Consider the following 13,597-nt stretch of genomic DNA (forward strand, 5'->3'; position numbering starts at 1 on the left):
TAACCAGACTTATCACGCTCCTGTTCTATTCAGTTTGTGATGCTTTTCTAACATTTGAGTAGTTTTTGCTATGCCCCTAGAATATGAAGTCTATCAAAAGATGCAGACAGGGTGAATGCACCTTTAATTCTTGGTTTCTCTGGAAATGTCTTTTGTTCTTCCTATAAGACAAATTGGTTTTCCTTTACTAAGGGTCTTGGCTACAATGCAGTCTGCATGGCATCTGCCTCATAGAGTTAGGTTTAACATCTCATCTACGTGATTACAATCCTTCAGATACATCACATTTCTGCAGATATGGCCTTAGTTTAGTCTTTCAATTAATCATTCTTCCTTCCCTGTGTCTCTTTTTTTCTGGGGAAGGTTTCAATATGTCAGAATAGAATTATATCTCCCATTATATTTGAAGCATGAGAAAAGGAAAAACAAATACTGACTGTGTAGAACTAAAAACAAAAACATGGCAAGCACCAAATCACTTCTCTGTCTGCAGTTTGTAAATGGCACAATAGTAAGTTATGTTGCTTGACATTTGTAACTAAAGGACAGAGCAGATGGTAAGGACTTATTTAAAATTAAAACAGAGAAAATATTTATTTAAATGAATAGCACTGCCAAGGCGTGATTTATTCTGTGTAGGGGCAGGCATGTGTTCAATAAAGCTTGTTCTAAACTAGAGTGAAATAATTTACTACAAATTGATAGGCCCTCATTTAAGTGAATTTCTATTAAGAAATCTACATTGACAGAAAAAGATTCTCCATTGCATTCACCATGTATCATCCTGAAATGTTAAGCACATTTAAAACTCAATTATTGTCTTTGGTTTTCAAGAAATAACCCATATAAGACCCTGCCAACCAGATATTGATTATTGGATTTATGTTTGAAATAAAAGACAATTTGATTTCATTTGAAGTCTTCAGGGAAAAGATATTGAACTTCATATTCCTCAGTGGGGACAAAAAAAGAAAAAAAGAAAAAAAAAGACCTAGACAGTAAGTCAAGTGATTTGGGAAACAGATTAAGTTTCTTAGGCCATTAGGTACTATATGGCTGTTTCTTAATTTTCTGTGACTGATGCATTTCTTTGACATTCCTACCCTGAAAATTGGGTTAAACCGATGAACCACATTTTTGCTGTAAAACTGCAGTTGACAGAAATATAGAAGTGAAGATTCAGAAGCATTTACATGGCTGAATATCTCCAGACCAGAAGTTACAAACTGAAATACCTATAGGGTTAGGGTAGGTATAGGACAAAAGATACACATTTTGTACCAAAGACTCTGCTTTCCTATTAAACAACAATAATAATATTTATTTCTACAAAGAAACGTAGTCTCTCTTTCTCTCTTTTTTGAAACACTAGCTCATTCAGATTTGTTTTTCCTTTGTGAACTTTTGCTAGAAACATATAAAGAGGGAAATATTTATTTACTCTAAAAAATCCTCAAGACATTTGATGATGAGTGATAACCTACCTTCAGCCTCTCTGTCAAGGAGAACTGGAAAGTGTGTTTCCTGTCTAAAGGGTATAGCTGCAATGCTGAGCCAATATTTCCAAATGTGTTCACTTTCCCTACAAAAAAAGAAGAAAATAAAATCTTTAGTGGAAATATCGTAATTTTTCTAAAACGTTGGAATAATTTAACAATTTTTAAAATGCCATAAAGGAAAACATTTTAGATCAAACAATATTGGTCTTCAGATAAAACTGAGCAACAGGGAGAGTTCTCTCAAACATTGTGTTTATTTAAATAGATATTGATAGAGTCCTACAACCTGAAAAGGCAAGCAGATTAGAGTCTGACTCTATTATTAAGTGAAAAGCCAACAACTGCAAAACTAAATAGAATCCAGTACTCAAGCTATGAATTTAAGCAATTTTTAGATGTTACCTACATTCCCTAGTATACCTATGATGAACAAACTAAATACAAATAATTAAACAGTCAAATCTTTCTTATTTTTGTATATGAGTCTTGATCCATCTGCTTTAGCTGTCTTTAGAGTTTTCCCAGTATGATTGGAAAGAATTATTACATTAAAGTGTTTACAGTATCCCCTTTGTATGAACATTTGTATGAAATTCTGAGATGTTCATTATTTAGGGTTTGAGATTATTTGTTTGTTTGTTTGTTTTACATTCTTTCAGCTGTTGAAAACTATAAATTAACTAACCACTGAGGAATAATTACCCAGAAACTAAAACTTCTTACTACATGTTGGCTTTGGATGAGTTATTTACCTTTCTATACCATCTGTGAAATAGAAACAATATTAATACTAACCTCTCAGGAATGTAAGGATTAAGTGACATACTGTATAAAATGCTTAAATCATGGTCTGGCACAGAAAGTACTCAGTAAATGTTAGTTATCAATATAAATTTAAAATATTATTAATTAATAACTATTTTCTGGTAGAGAAGATGTAAATGAGGAGGAATTTCTAGAACATTAGATACAATTGTTCTCTCACCCTCCCATTAAAATCAAAAAGTGTAGTGACGCTAATGTCTTACACTCAGCGATTAAAATGACATACATTTATAAAGAAAAGGTCATGAAATTATATCTCAGTAATGGTCTGACATCAAAACCAATCTGCTAGTTGTAGAGATGAAACCAAAGACAATTGACAACTCATCATTACAACAAAAACACCCACAAAGTCAGGTAGAGTAAACATGTAAGTCATAAATTCAAACCAAGAGATCATGAATTGGCCCTTGTGGTTGAGATAGATGACAAAAAAAAATGAAATACTGCCAGACTAAATCATTTCAATCACTGGAATCCTCATGGCATAAATTTATTCTAAAACAGTTTCATTTATGGTTGATGCAGTTGCTCATGCAGGAATAATGAATAAAAGAGAAATTATTAATATCTTTCTGTAGGAAGTTACTAATCAAACTAACAGTCAAATGAAAAGCAGAGGATTGAGGAAGTTACCGAACTTGCCAAAGTTATAAAGCTACAAAAGAGTAAAAATAGGAATTCAAATGTGGACCTCTCACCCTTAAGAAATAATGCTCTTTTATTGCTATCTTACCATTTAGGGAGTGAGAGATTTCTCACTTAATGATCACTAAAAAGCAGTAGTTTGAACAAACAAATGTGTAGGTGGAGAACAAAAATTTTCACACAAGCGCAGTATACTCGTTTACCAACTGGAAAGGCACATTAGCCATTTGTTCATAGGCATTATTCAGTTGCTGAGCTTATTTGTAACATATTTAAGGTCAGGCATAGATTTGGGAATAAAATAAATGGTTTTTGTCTCAATTATATACTGTGATGTTAATATTTTTTGAGAAATATTTCATTTTTAAGTAGCCACAAGCATATAAAAACCACATCATCAGTCACATTTTACTCTGACAATAAAGAATGAAATTGCTACTATTAGCCTGATTGTATTCTGGATAATAATGACAGCCACGGAAGAAATACGCAAGTCTATTGAATTCACTTATCTATACCGAAGGAACAAAGGTAGGTGTAAATAAAAAAGGCAGAACTATTAAATAGATTAAGGATTTTCTTCCATGGGTGACTAAAATGTAACAGCTTCCGCTAACTCAGAAAATTACACTGTAAGAATTGTTTGAGTTCATTTCAGTGTTATATTTTCCGTACTTGTCACAGATGGGCAATTCAAAGCCTTTTCTACTGATTCAAATATAAATGCATAATGTTAAAATATTCTCCTTTCTAAACAAGACCTCATAATTCAATTGTAAGTATTGTATGAACACTTTAGTGAACTCTGGCTAGAGTCCTAACTCAGTTCACTGTCCACCTGTATTTCATTATGTTGAATGTGAAAAAATCATGTCCTAACCCCTCAATATTTTCTCATCAAGATTTCCAAATATGTTTCTAATAAATAAATAATAAATAACTTTCAAAATGTAGCCACTGATGTACTTCAGATCTTCTATGTAACTACTATGCAACTATTCTTTCTTTCTCTTTTTTTTTGAGACTGGAGTCTCTCTCTTATTGCCCAGGCTGGAGTGCAAAGGCACAATCTCAGCTCACCGCAACCTCTGCCTCCCGGGTCAAGCAATTCTCCTGCCTCAGCCTCCCGAGTAGCTGGGATTACAGGCATGCGCCACCACGCCCGGCTAATTTTTGTATTTTCACTAGAGACGGGGTTTCTCCATGTTGGTCAGGTTGGTCTCGAACTCCTGACCTCAGGTGATCCATCCTCTTCGGCCTTCCAAAGTGCTGGGATTACAGGCATGAGCCACTGCACCCAACCATAACTATTCTTTCAACCCAGACATAGATATGAAGAAGATACATGCACTCTGATTTTCAGCAACTTGACAAAAATAACGTTATAGAAGATATCTACAGTGATCACAGAATTAAACGTTATTGATAAATTAAACAAATCAACAAGCATTGTGCAGTTTAAATTACAACAATGAAAGATATCTTGCTCTTACCTATAATACCCCTTAAATACAAAGAATGCAATCAATGCAATAAGTTCCAAAATAGATCCTTTCTGAGTCAAGAAAACAAAAAATTATTGAGCTGCATATTTGTTTGGTTTTTCAAAATTCATTCATATTTTTCTTGATAAGAACGTTTGTTTCTTTTGTATGTGTCCTCTTTTGGCTACATATATCCTGCCACCTTCTCAACAACAAAAACACAAAGTTGGGCATAAGGACTTGAATATACATTTCTCCAATGAAGATATACAAATGGACAACAAGCACATAGTAAGATGTTTCACATAATTAGTTCTTAAGGAAATGCAAATCAAAATCACAATTAAATAGTACTTCATACCCACCAGGTGGGCTACTGGGAAAAAAATAGAAAATAACACGTCTTTAAGAATATGTGGAGAAATTAGAACCTTTGACGGTAGGAATGTAAAATTGTGCAGACACTATGAAAAACAGTCTGACAATTTCTCAAAAGTTAAACAATTACCAGAGTGCCCAGAATGCCCATACTTGGATATATAACATAATTAAAAACTCATACTAAAACAAACACTTGAATACATGAATAGTCATAGCAGCACAATTTACAATTGTCAAAGGTGAAAACAACCCAAAAGTGCATCAATAAATGAATGGATAAACAAACTGTGGTGTACACATGCAATGAAATATTACTCTATAAAATTATTCCATATTGCAGTATTGTCCGATAAAAAGAAATGAAGCATTAATACATGCTATAATGAGAATAAACCTCAAAAGCATTTTGCTAAGTGAAAAAAGCTAGACACCAAAAGTCACATGTATGATTCAATGTATATAAAATATCCACAGTAGGTAAATCTATAGAGACAGAAAGCACATTAGTGGTTGCCAGCAGCCAAGGGAAGGGAAGAATGATGAGTAACAGCTTAAGGGCTAGGGGGTTATATTTTGGGGCAATGAAAATATTTTAGAACTAGATAGAAGTGGTGATTGTACAACATTGTGAATATACTAAATGCTACCAAATAATTCACTTTTTAAATTTTTTTGCAGAGACATCTCAAGCTGGAATTCAATGGCGTGATCATAGCTCACTGCAACCTTGAACTTCTGGGCTCAAGCAAACCTCCCACATCAGCATCTCAAGTAGCCAGGACTGCAGGCATGTGCTACCATACCTGACTAATTATTTATTTTTATTTTTATTTTTTTTTACAGAGACAGGGTCTTGTTATGTTGCCCAGGCTGATTTTCGACTATTTTCCTGGACTCAAGCAATCCTCCTGCCTTAGGTTCCCAATGTGCTGGGATTACAGGTGTGAGCTACTGTGCCCACCTATTCACTTTAAAATGGTTAATTTTATATTTTGTAACGTTCACTTCAATTAAAAAAGGATATACTCTTGTCCTTTGCCCAAAGGAATAACAACAAGACCAAAACTTAGACAGAGTCTTTTATTGAAAACCTTAATTATTAAGTGAGAGCTGAAATTATTTAAAAGTGACTAACCCTCTTTCATTACAATGGAAGTCTTACGATGGTGATGATTATTATTGGTATTATAATTATTGCTATGTTTCTTATTGACATATTCATCTGTTTTTTTACCCTATAACACCAAATGTATTTCTATGAACAGAATACAAAACAAATCTATGCAGGAAGATCTTCTAAGCTTTGCACTTCCAGACGTGGTGGATACAGCTGCTAGCTTTAGCGTCATTCCACCACAGGTTTCCATTTGAAAACTTAGGACCAGTTATTTACTCATAGCCTTAAGCCTTATGTTACATTGCTCTTTTCATTATAAATAGCACACTTATATCCCCAAACTGTCTAGAAAATAGTACAATAAATTGCCATAATGAAAACCAGTAGCTTTTTTTTTTTTTTTTTTTTTTTTTCTGAGAGCACCACTACTGCTCCTCTCGAAAGGGAATTTCTCAAGAATTTGTCCCTATATATTTCAAGTTTTGGGATTAGAAATAACATATTTAAGACACCAATGCTTATTTCAGGCCATTACTATTAGAAATTTACCTACAAACACTGCTTTTCCTTTAAAAATTGTAACTAATACACTTTCTCTTCTGTGCTGCCTGTTGATGCAGGACTTACAGGTACTCATTCTCATTAATCAAAGAGTTTACCAAATTTCTCACAGTCTTTCTGTCCAATTCAAGTTATACCAACTTGTTGACATGCAAGGTCATCAACAACTTTTCAAAGTGGCTGTTGACAACATATAAGTTAAATAAACTTTCATTGATTATTCAAGTCATTACACCCAAGTCTTCAAAATATCAGTTTGTGAATGACTCCCAATCATAGACCTCCAACACAGATCCCTCAATCCTCATGCAGTGCACTTCTCAATCATGAAATCTTACAGGCACTTCAAAATTATTCTGATTAAACTTAACTTTTACACACGTTTTTCTTCTACCATTTAATCTTTCTACCATGCAGTTAGAAACCAATGAGTCATCTTTGACCTTTCCCTCATTCTTATAGGGTCTCATTCACCTCATCTTAACATTTCTATCCTTAGAGTTCTATCCTGAATTTCTATCTATGTTCATTCCACAATATTAGGTGTTTTTTTTTAAATCATTTCTTACTTCGATCTTTTTAAAAGGCAAATGTGCTCAAATGTAATTTGCACTAAAATATTTCACAATTTGTATTTGTCATTTTAAATTCATCATCCTTAAACCTCATATTCTGCCACAGCTTTCTATCACTCTATTGTTTCCTTATTTATTTATTTGTTTATTTATTTATTTTTTTGAGACAGTCCCATGCTGGAGTGCAGTGGCATGATTTTGGCTCACTGCAGCCTCCGCCTCCTGGGTTCCAGCGATTCTTATGCCTCATTCTCCTGAGTAGCTGGACTACAGGAGCACGCCACCATTTCCAGCTAATTTTTGTATTTTTAGTAGAGATGGGGTTTCACCATGTTGCCCAGGCTGGTCTCAAACTCCTGGCCTCAAGTGATCCACTCAGCTCAGCCTCCCAAAGTGCTAGGATTACGGGCATGAGCTGCCACAACTGGCCTCCTTTTTTTTTTTTTTAAATATACACTAGCATGCTTTCACTCAGCCCTAAGCCTTTATAAATGGTGTTCCTCTTGCCTTGAATGCTCCTAACCAATTATTGTTTCCATGCTCATTCTAAAGAAATCAGTTCTGATTGACTAACTCCCAGGAGCTATATCCTTTCTCTTACCCTTCTACCATTACATATCCATCTATTTGTTTTCATAGCAATACTTTTTTTTTTTTCCTATTTTTTTTAGACGGAATCTCTCTCTGTCACCCAGGTTGGAGTGCAGTGATGATCTCAGCTCACTGCAACCTCCAGCTCTCTCATTCAAGCAATTCTCCTGCCTCAGCCTCCCAAGTAGCTGGGATTACAGGCTCTGGGCACCATGCCTGGCTAATTTTTGTATTTTTAGTAGAGACGGGGTTTCACCTTGTTGGCCAGGCTGGTCTCAAACTCCTGACCTTAGGTGATCCGCCTGCCGTGGCCTCCCAAAGTGCTAGGATTACAGGCGTGAGCCACTGTGCCAGGCCTCAGTGCATTTTTGTCATTGTACTTATCATATTAGATTGTAAATCGAATGTTTAGTATAATATTTATGAAAAAATACATAATTAATACAGGCCTGTGAATGCAAAAATAAATGAATTTACAAAATCAAACTTTAAAACAATTATTTTAAAGTATCCATAGAAAATATTTGTGTAATGTGAAATAAGGTTTTATATTATGAATGGATTAGATGTGTTTACAATTAATATGTAAATGTAGAGTTTGTAGTTGGAAATGTTTACAATTGAAAATGTAGTTGCCAACAGAAGAGCTATTTCTTTGAGGGTCTATCTTACTGACTGGGTGTAGAAACAACTCATACAATGTAAACCAAAACTACACAAAATGCTTTATAAGTGTAGTAGGTTTTATGAAAGAAAAAGAAATTGAATAATACAATGGAGGGTAACTGGTTTGCAAGAAGGTATTTTGTTTCATATTATCAGGGGAGGCTACTTGGAAGTGGTGTCATTTTATCTGAAATTGAAAAATAAATGGCCAGGCACGGTGACTCATGCCTGTAATCCCAGCAGTTTGGGAGGCCGAGGTGGGGGGATCATGAGGTCAGGAGTTTGAGACCAGCCTCACCAACATGGTGAAACCCCGTCTCTACTAAAAACATAAAAAAATTAGCTGGGCGTGGTGGCGGGTGCCTGTAATCCCAGCTACTCAAGAGGCTGAGGCATGAGAACTGTTTGAATCCGGGAGATGGAGGTTGCAGTGAGCCAAGATTGCGCCACCGTACTCCAGCCTGGGCGACAAAGCAAGACTCTGTCTCAAAAAAAAAAAAAGAAAAATAAATAAGGGTCCACTACATGGTGATGCAGGAGGAAAGTGTACAGGAAGATAGAATGGCAGATGAAAGACCATGAGATTGGGATGATTTGGCATTTTTCTGTAACTGAAAAAAGAGCTAGTATGATTGAAAAGGTGATGAGATTGAGGAGGGCTATGTGTATTTAGCCATAGAAGAAGTTTTTCAATTAGATTTTATTATGCTATCAAAAAGGGCAATGAGAAGGCATCACAAGTTTTTAGACAGAGGAGTGATGAAATCTAAACTATTTGTAAAAGCCGTTATTGATGAGGTAAGACAATTTTAGGAGGGTAGGGTGTGTTGTGCCAAGAATAGAAGCAGGGGACCAATGAGAAGATTATTGTAGTCACCTATTCAAGCAATGAGAGAAACCTAGAGTGGTAGCCATGGAAATGGAAGAGTAAACGGATTTCATTATGTCTTTTTGAGATAATCTGAATAAGAATTGCTGATAGGTTACATATGAGGGAGGAATACAGGAAGGAAGAGCACACACTGTATCCTAAATCATTTGCTTCATAATTAGATGGATGGGGATGACATCTACTGATATGGGGTTGAAAGGAGAGAGAGTAAATCATCTTTTAAAAATATTAATTTTAACACACCTAACATCACTCAAATGGACACATCAGGTAAACAAGTGTCGTCATAATAGCATGTTAAAATGTAAAGTTTTGAAAGAGACAAACATTCAGCAGATATCAAATACCAAACAACCTATAACACAGACCTTCTTGGGGACTCTAAAAAGAAAGTACTAGAGAATTATTTAGATTATTTACTTTCACAAGGGATTTACATTATTGTGTGGCTGGAAACTAAGAGTGTTGTTAAGAGAGATCTGTTTAAGGCTTTCAACAGTTGCTGTTGTAAGCCCCATCCTTGCTCAAAAGAGACTTAATGAAATTATTTGGCGACCTCGACATATGGTCCAACAGTAAGGAAAAACACACTGGACCAGAATCTTACGCCTTCTTGGGAAATGTATAGGATGAAAGACTGGCTGACTATCCACTTAGGTGGCAGAACAAAGGAAGCAACTGTGGCTTTGGGAATCATTTTCACTCCCATATATGTCTCAGAAAGAGAATGCTTGAGTGGATCTTGTGGATTGTCTGTGGGCAATGTAGCAGAGAGGGGTACCTATGCACAGACTTCTAGGGGGGTGATATGGGCATTAGGAGTAAAATATAACTATGGAGTGAATCGCTACAAGAAAGACATAGTCAACCTCAAGACTGAACCAGATATACTAACATCAAGGTTGTGCGTGTGTGCGTGTGTGTGTGTGCATGGCTACGTGCTCTTGCATGTGTTGGAGAAGGTGGAAGTTCTGCAAAACACTAATAAAATCCCCCATTAAGAAAACAGTGATATTTAAACAATTCTCAAACCCAGGCATGATAATGGCGTTGTTCGACAACCTTAGGAATTCCTTTACTTGTATTCCCTGCCCTTCCTGACCTCTACTTCTTCCTTGTTTCCGCATAAACAACAGGTGTTAAGGATAGAAATATAATGTAGTAAAGAACAGGATACACTGTCAATTAGTAAAAGATCTATCCTGCAGCAGGAGTTTGCAGAGGGAGAATTCATTCAAGGTTTGTTCCTATTACATAAATGTAAACTTTTTTATTGTTGAGATTGTTTTGGCAATTTATTATGAGCATAGAGCTTTCTGGTACCTAAGAATGAACAGAAAAATTCATGTGGCCTCAGAACACTTTCAACCACTTGCAAGGGAAGGGTAAGGACAAGAATGCAGATACAAATTGGAAGCCAAAAAGATGTAGTTGGTATTTGAAGCCGTAAAACTGGACGAGATAACTCATAGGGACTAAGCCTCAACCAGGCAAATGCATGCTGCTCTTACCTCTGTGGTTCTGAGAAGCCACATGCTGTATTTCAGAAAAGCATAAAACAATAGAGAATGATGTCATTTAGCACTATCTTTTCTAATTGCAGAAATGTCAGCTATCCAGCAAATGCCTGGATCTATAGTATATTTCTTTAAAATTTGCTAAACTTTTTTAGAGAAAATAATTATTTCAATGGAAATGGAAGAATTACTTGGCAATGAGTAAAGGAATCATCCACTATATTTAAAAATATATTAAGTTAATCTCACTTAAAATGTAGTGTAATTCTAAAAATAGAAAACCAAAGAGCACATTTTCTCACTTATAAATGGAAGCTAAATGATGAGAACACATGGACACATACCAGGGAACAACACACAGTGGGGCCTGTCAGAGGGTGGAGGGCGAGAGAGGGAGAGGATCTGGAAAAATAACTAATGAGCTTAATAACTGGGTGATGAAATAATCTGTATAACAAACACCCATGACACAAGCTTCCCTATGTAACAAACCTGCGACTGGGGAGGAGCCAAGATGGCCCAATAGGAACAGCTCCAGTCTACAGCTCCCAGCGTGAGCAACGCAGAAGACGGGTGATTTCTGCATTTCCATCTGAGGTACCAGGTTCATCTCACTAGGGAGTGCCAGACAGTGGGCACAGGTCAGTGGGTGCGTGCACCATGCGCGAGCCGAAGCAGGGCAAGGCATTGCCTCACTCCGGACGCGCAAGGGGTCAGGGAGTTCCCTTTCCGAGTCAAAGAAAGGGGTAACACACGGCACCTGGAAAATCGGGTCGCTCCCACCCGAATACTGCGCTTTTCCGACGGGCTTAAAAAACAGCGCACCACGAGATTATATCCGGCACCTGGCTCGGAGGGTCCTACGCCCACGGAGTCTCATTGATTGCTAGCACAGCAGTCTGAGATCAAACTGCAAGCCAGCAGCGAGGATGGGGGAGGGGCGCCCACCCTTGCCCAGGCTTGCTTAGGTAAACAAAGCAGCCAGGAAGCTCGAACTGGGTGGAGCCCACCACAGCTCAAGGAGGCCTGGCTGCCTCTGTAGGCTCCACCTCTGGGGGCAGGGCACAGACAAACAAAAAGACAGCAGTAACCTCTGCAGACTTAAATGTCCCTGTCTGACAGCTTTGAAGAGAGCAGTGGTTCTCCCAGCACGCAGCTGGAGATCTGAGAACCTGCAGACTGCCTCCTCAAGTGGGTCCCTGACCCCGACCCCCGAGCAGCCTAACTGGGAGGCACCCCCCAGCAGGGGCACACTGACACCTCACACAGCAGGGTACTCCAACAGACCTGCAGCTGAGGGTCCTGTCTGTTAGAAGGAAAACTAACAAACAGAAAGGACATCCACACCAAAAACCCATCTGTACATCACCATCATCAAAGACCAAAAGTAGATAAAACCACAAAGATGGGGAAAAAACAGAACAGAAAAACTGGAAACTCTAAAAAGCAGAGTGCCTCTCCTCCTCCAAAGGAACGCAATTCCTCACCAGCAACGGAACAAAGCTGGACGGAGAATGACTTCGACGAGCTGAGAGAAGAAGGCTTCAGACGATCAAATTACTCTGAGCTACGGGAGGACATTCAAACCAAAGGCAAAGAAGTTGAAAACTTTGAAAAAAATTTAGAAGAATGTATAACTAGAATAACCAACACAGAGAAGTGCTTAAAGGAGCTGATGGAGCTGAAAACCAAGGCTCCAGAACTACGTGAAGAATGCAGAAGCCTCAGGAGCCGATGCGATCAACTGGAAGAAAGGGTATCACCAATGGAAGATGAAATGAATGAAATGAAGTGAGAAGGGAAGTTTAGAGAAAAAAGAATAAAAAGAAATGAGCAAAGCCTCCAAGAAATATGGGACTATGTGAAAAGACCAAATCTACGTCTGATTGGTGTACCTGAAAGTGATGGGGAGAATGGAACCAAGTTCGAAAACACTCTGCAGGATATTATCCAGGAGAACTTCCCCAATCTAGCAAGGCAGGCCAACGTTCAGATTCAGGAAATACAGAGAACGCCACAAAGATATGCCTCGAGAAGAGCAACTCCAAAACACATAATTGTCAGATTCACCAAAGTTGAAATGAAGGAAAAAATGTTAAGGGCAGCCAGAGAGAAAGGTCGGGTTACCCTCAAAGGGAAGCCCATCAGACTAACAGCGGATCTCTTGGCAGAAACCCTACAAGCCAGAAGAGAGTGGGGGCCAATATTCAACATTCTTAAAGAAAAGAATTTTCAACCCAGAATTTCATATCCAGCCAAACTAAGCTTCATAAGTGAAGGAGAAATAAAATACTTTACAGACAAGCAAATGCTGAGAGATTTTGTCACCACCAGGCCTGCCCTAAAAGAGCTCCTGAAGGAAGCGCTAAACATGGAAAGGAACAACTGGTACCAGCCACTGCAAAATCATGCCAAAACGTAAAAACCATCGAGACTAGGAAGTAACTGCATCAACTAACGAGCAAAATAACCAGCTAACATCATAATGACAGGATCAAATTCACACATAACAATATTAACTTTCAATGTAAATGGACTAAATGCTCCAAATAAAAGACACAGACTGGCAAATTGGATAAAGAGTCAAGACCCATCAGTGTGCTGTATTCAGGAAACCCATCTCACGTGCAGAGACACACATAGGCTCAAAATAAAAGGATGGAGGAAGATCTACCAAGCAAATGGAAAACAAAAAAAGGCAGGGGTTGCAATCCTAGTCTCTGATAAAACAGACTTTAAACCAACAAAGATCAAAAGAGACAAAGAAGGCCATTACATAATGGTAAAGGGATCAATTCAACAAGAAGAGCTAACTATTCTAAATATATATGCACCCAATAC

The 13,597-nt window shown here is 37.4% G+C and overlaps 1 long non-coding RNA gene across 1 annotated transcript in view, besides 2 other annotated features; it reads right to left on the bottom strand.

Annotated features, from left to right (window-relative positions):
- LINC01492 (long intergenic non-protein coding RNA 1492) overlaps positions 1-13,597 on the bottom strand; it is a 184,506-nt gene that overhangs the window by 85,702 nt on the left and 85,207 nt on the right. The window contains exon 7 of the long non-coding RNA NR_121578.1: positions 1,485-1,582. This is a non-coding gene — a long non-coding RNA (long intergenic non-protein coding RNA 1492). The remainder of the gene's footprint in view (positions 1-1,484; positions 1,583-13,597) is intronic.
- Positions 10,956-11,557: an enhancer, noted in NCBI's record as "H3K27ac-H3K4me1 hESC enhancer chr9:105999467-106000068 (GRCh37/hg19 assembly coordinates)". NCBI's record gives its function as "activates a minimal SCP1, AML or CMV promoter by ChIP-STARR-seq in naive and primed H9 embryonic stem cells {active_cell/tissue: H9 hESC(naive and primed)}" and the evidence as "EXISTENCE:reporter gene assay evidence [ECO:0000049][PMID:30033119]".
- Positions 11,558-12,158: an enhancer, noted in NCBI's record as "H3K27ac-H3K4me1 hESC enhancer chr9:106000069-106000669 (GRCh37/hg19 assembly coordinates)". NCBI's record gives its function as "activates a minimal SCP1, AML or CMV promoter by ChIP-STARR-seq in naive H9 embryonic stem cells {active_cell/tissue: H9 hESC(naive)}" and the evidence as "EXISTENCE:reporter gene assay evidence [ECO:0000049][PMID:30033119]".

Source organism: Homo sapiens, chromosome 9 (genome assembly GCF_000001405.40).
Source record: "Homo sapiens chromosome 9, GRCh38.p14 Primary Assembly".
NCBI lineage: Eukaryota > Metazoa > Chordata > Mammalia > Primates > Hominidae > Homo > Homo sapiens.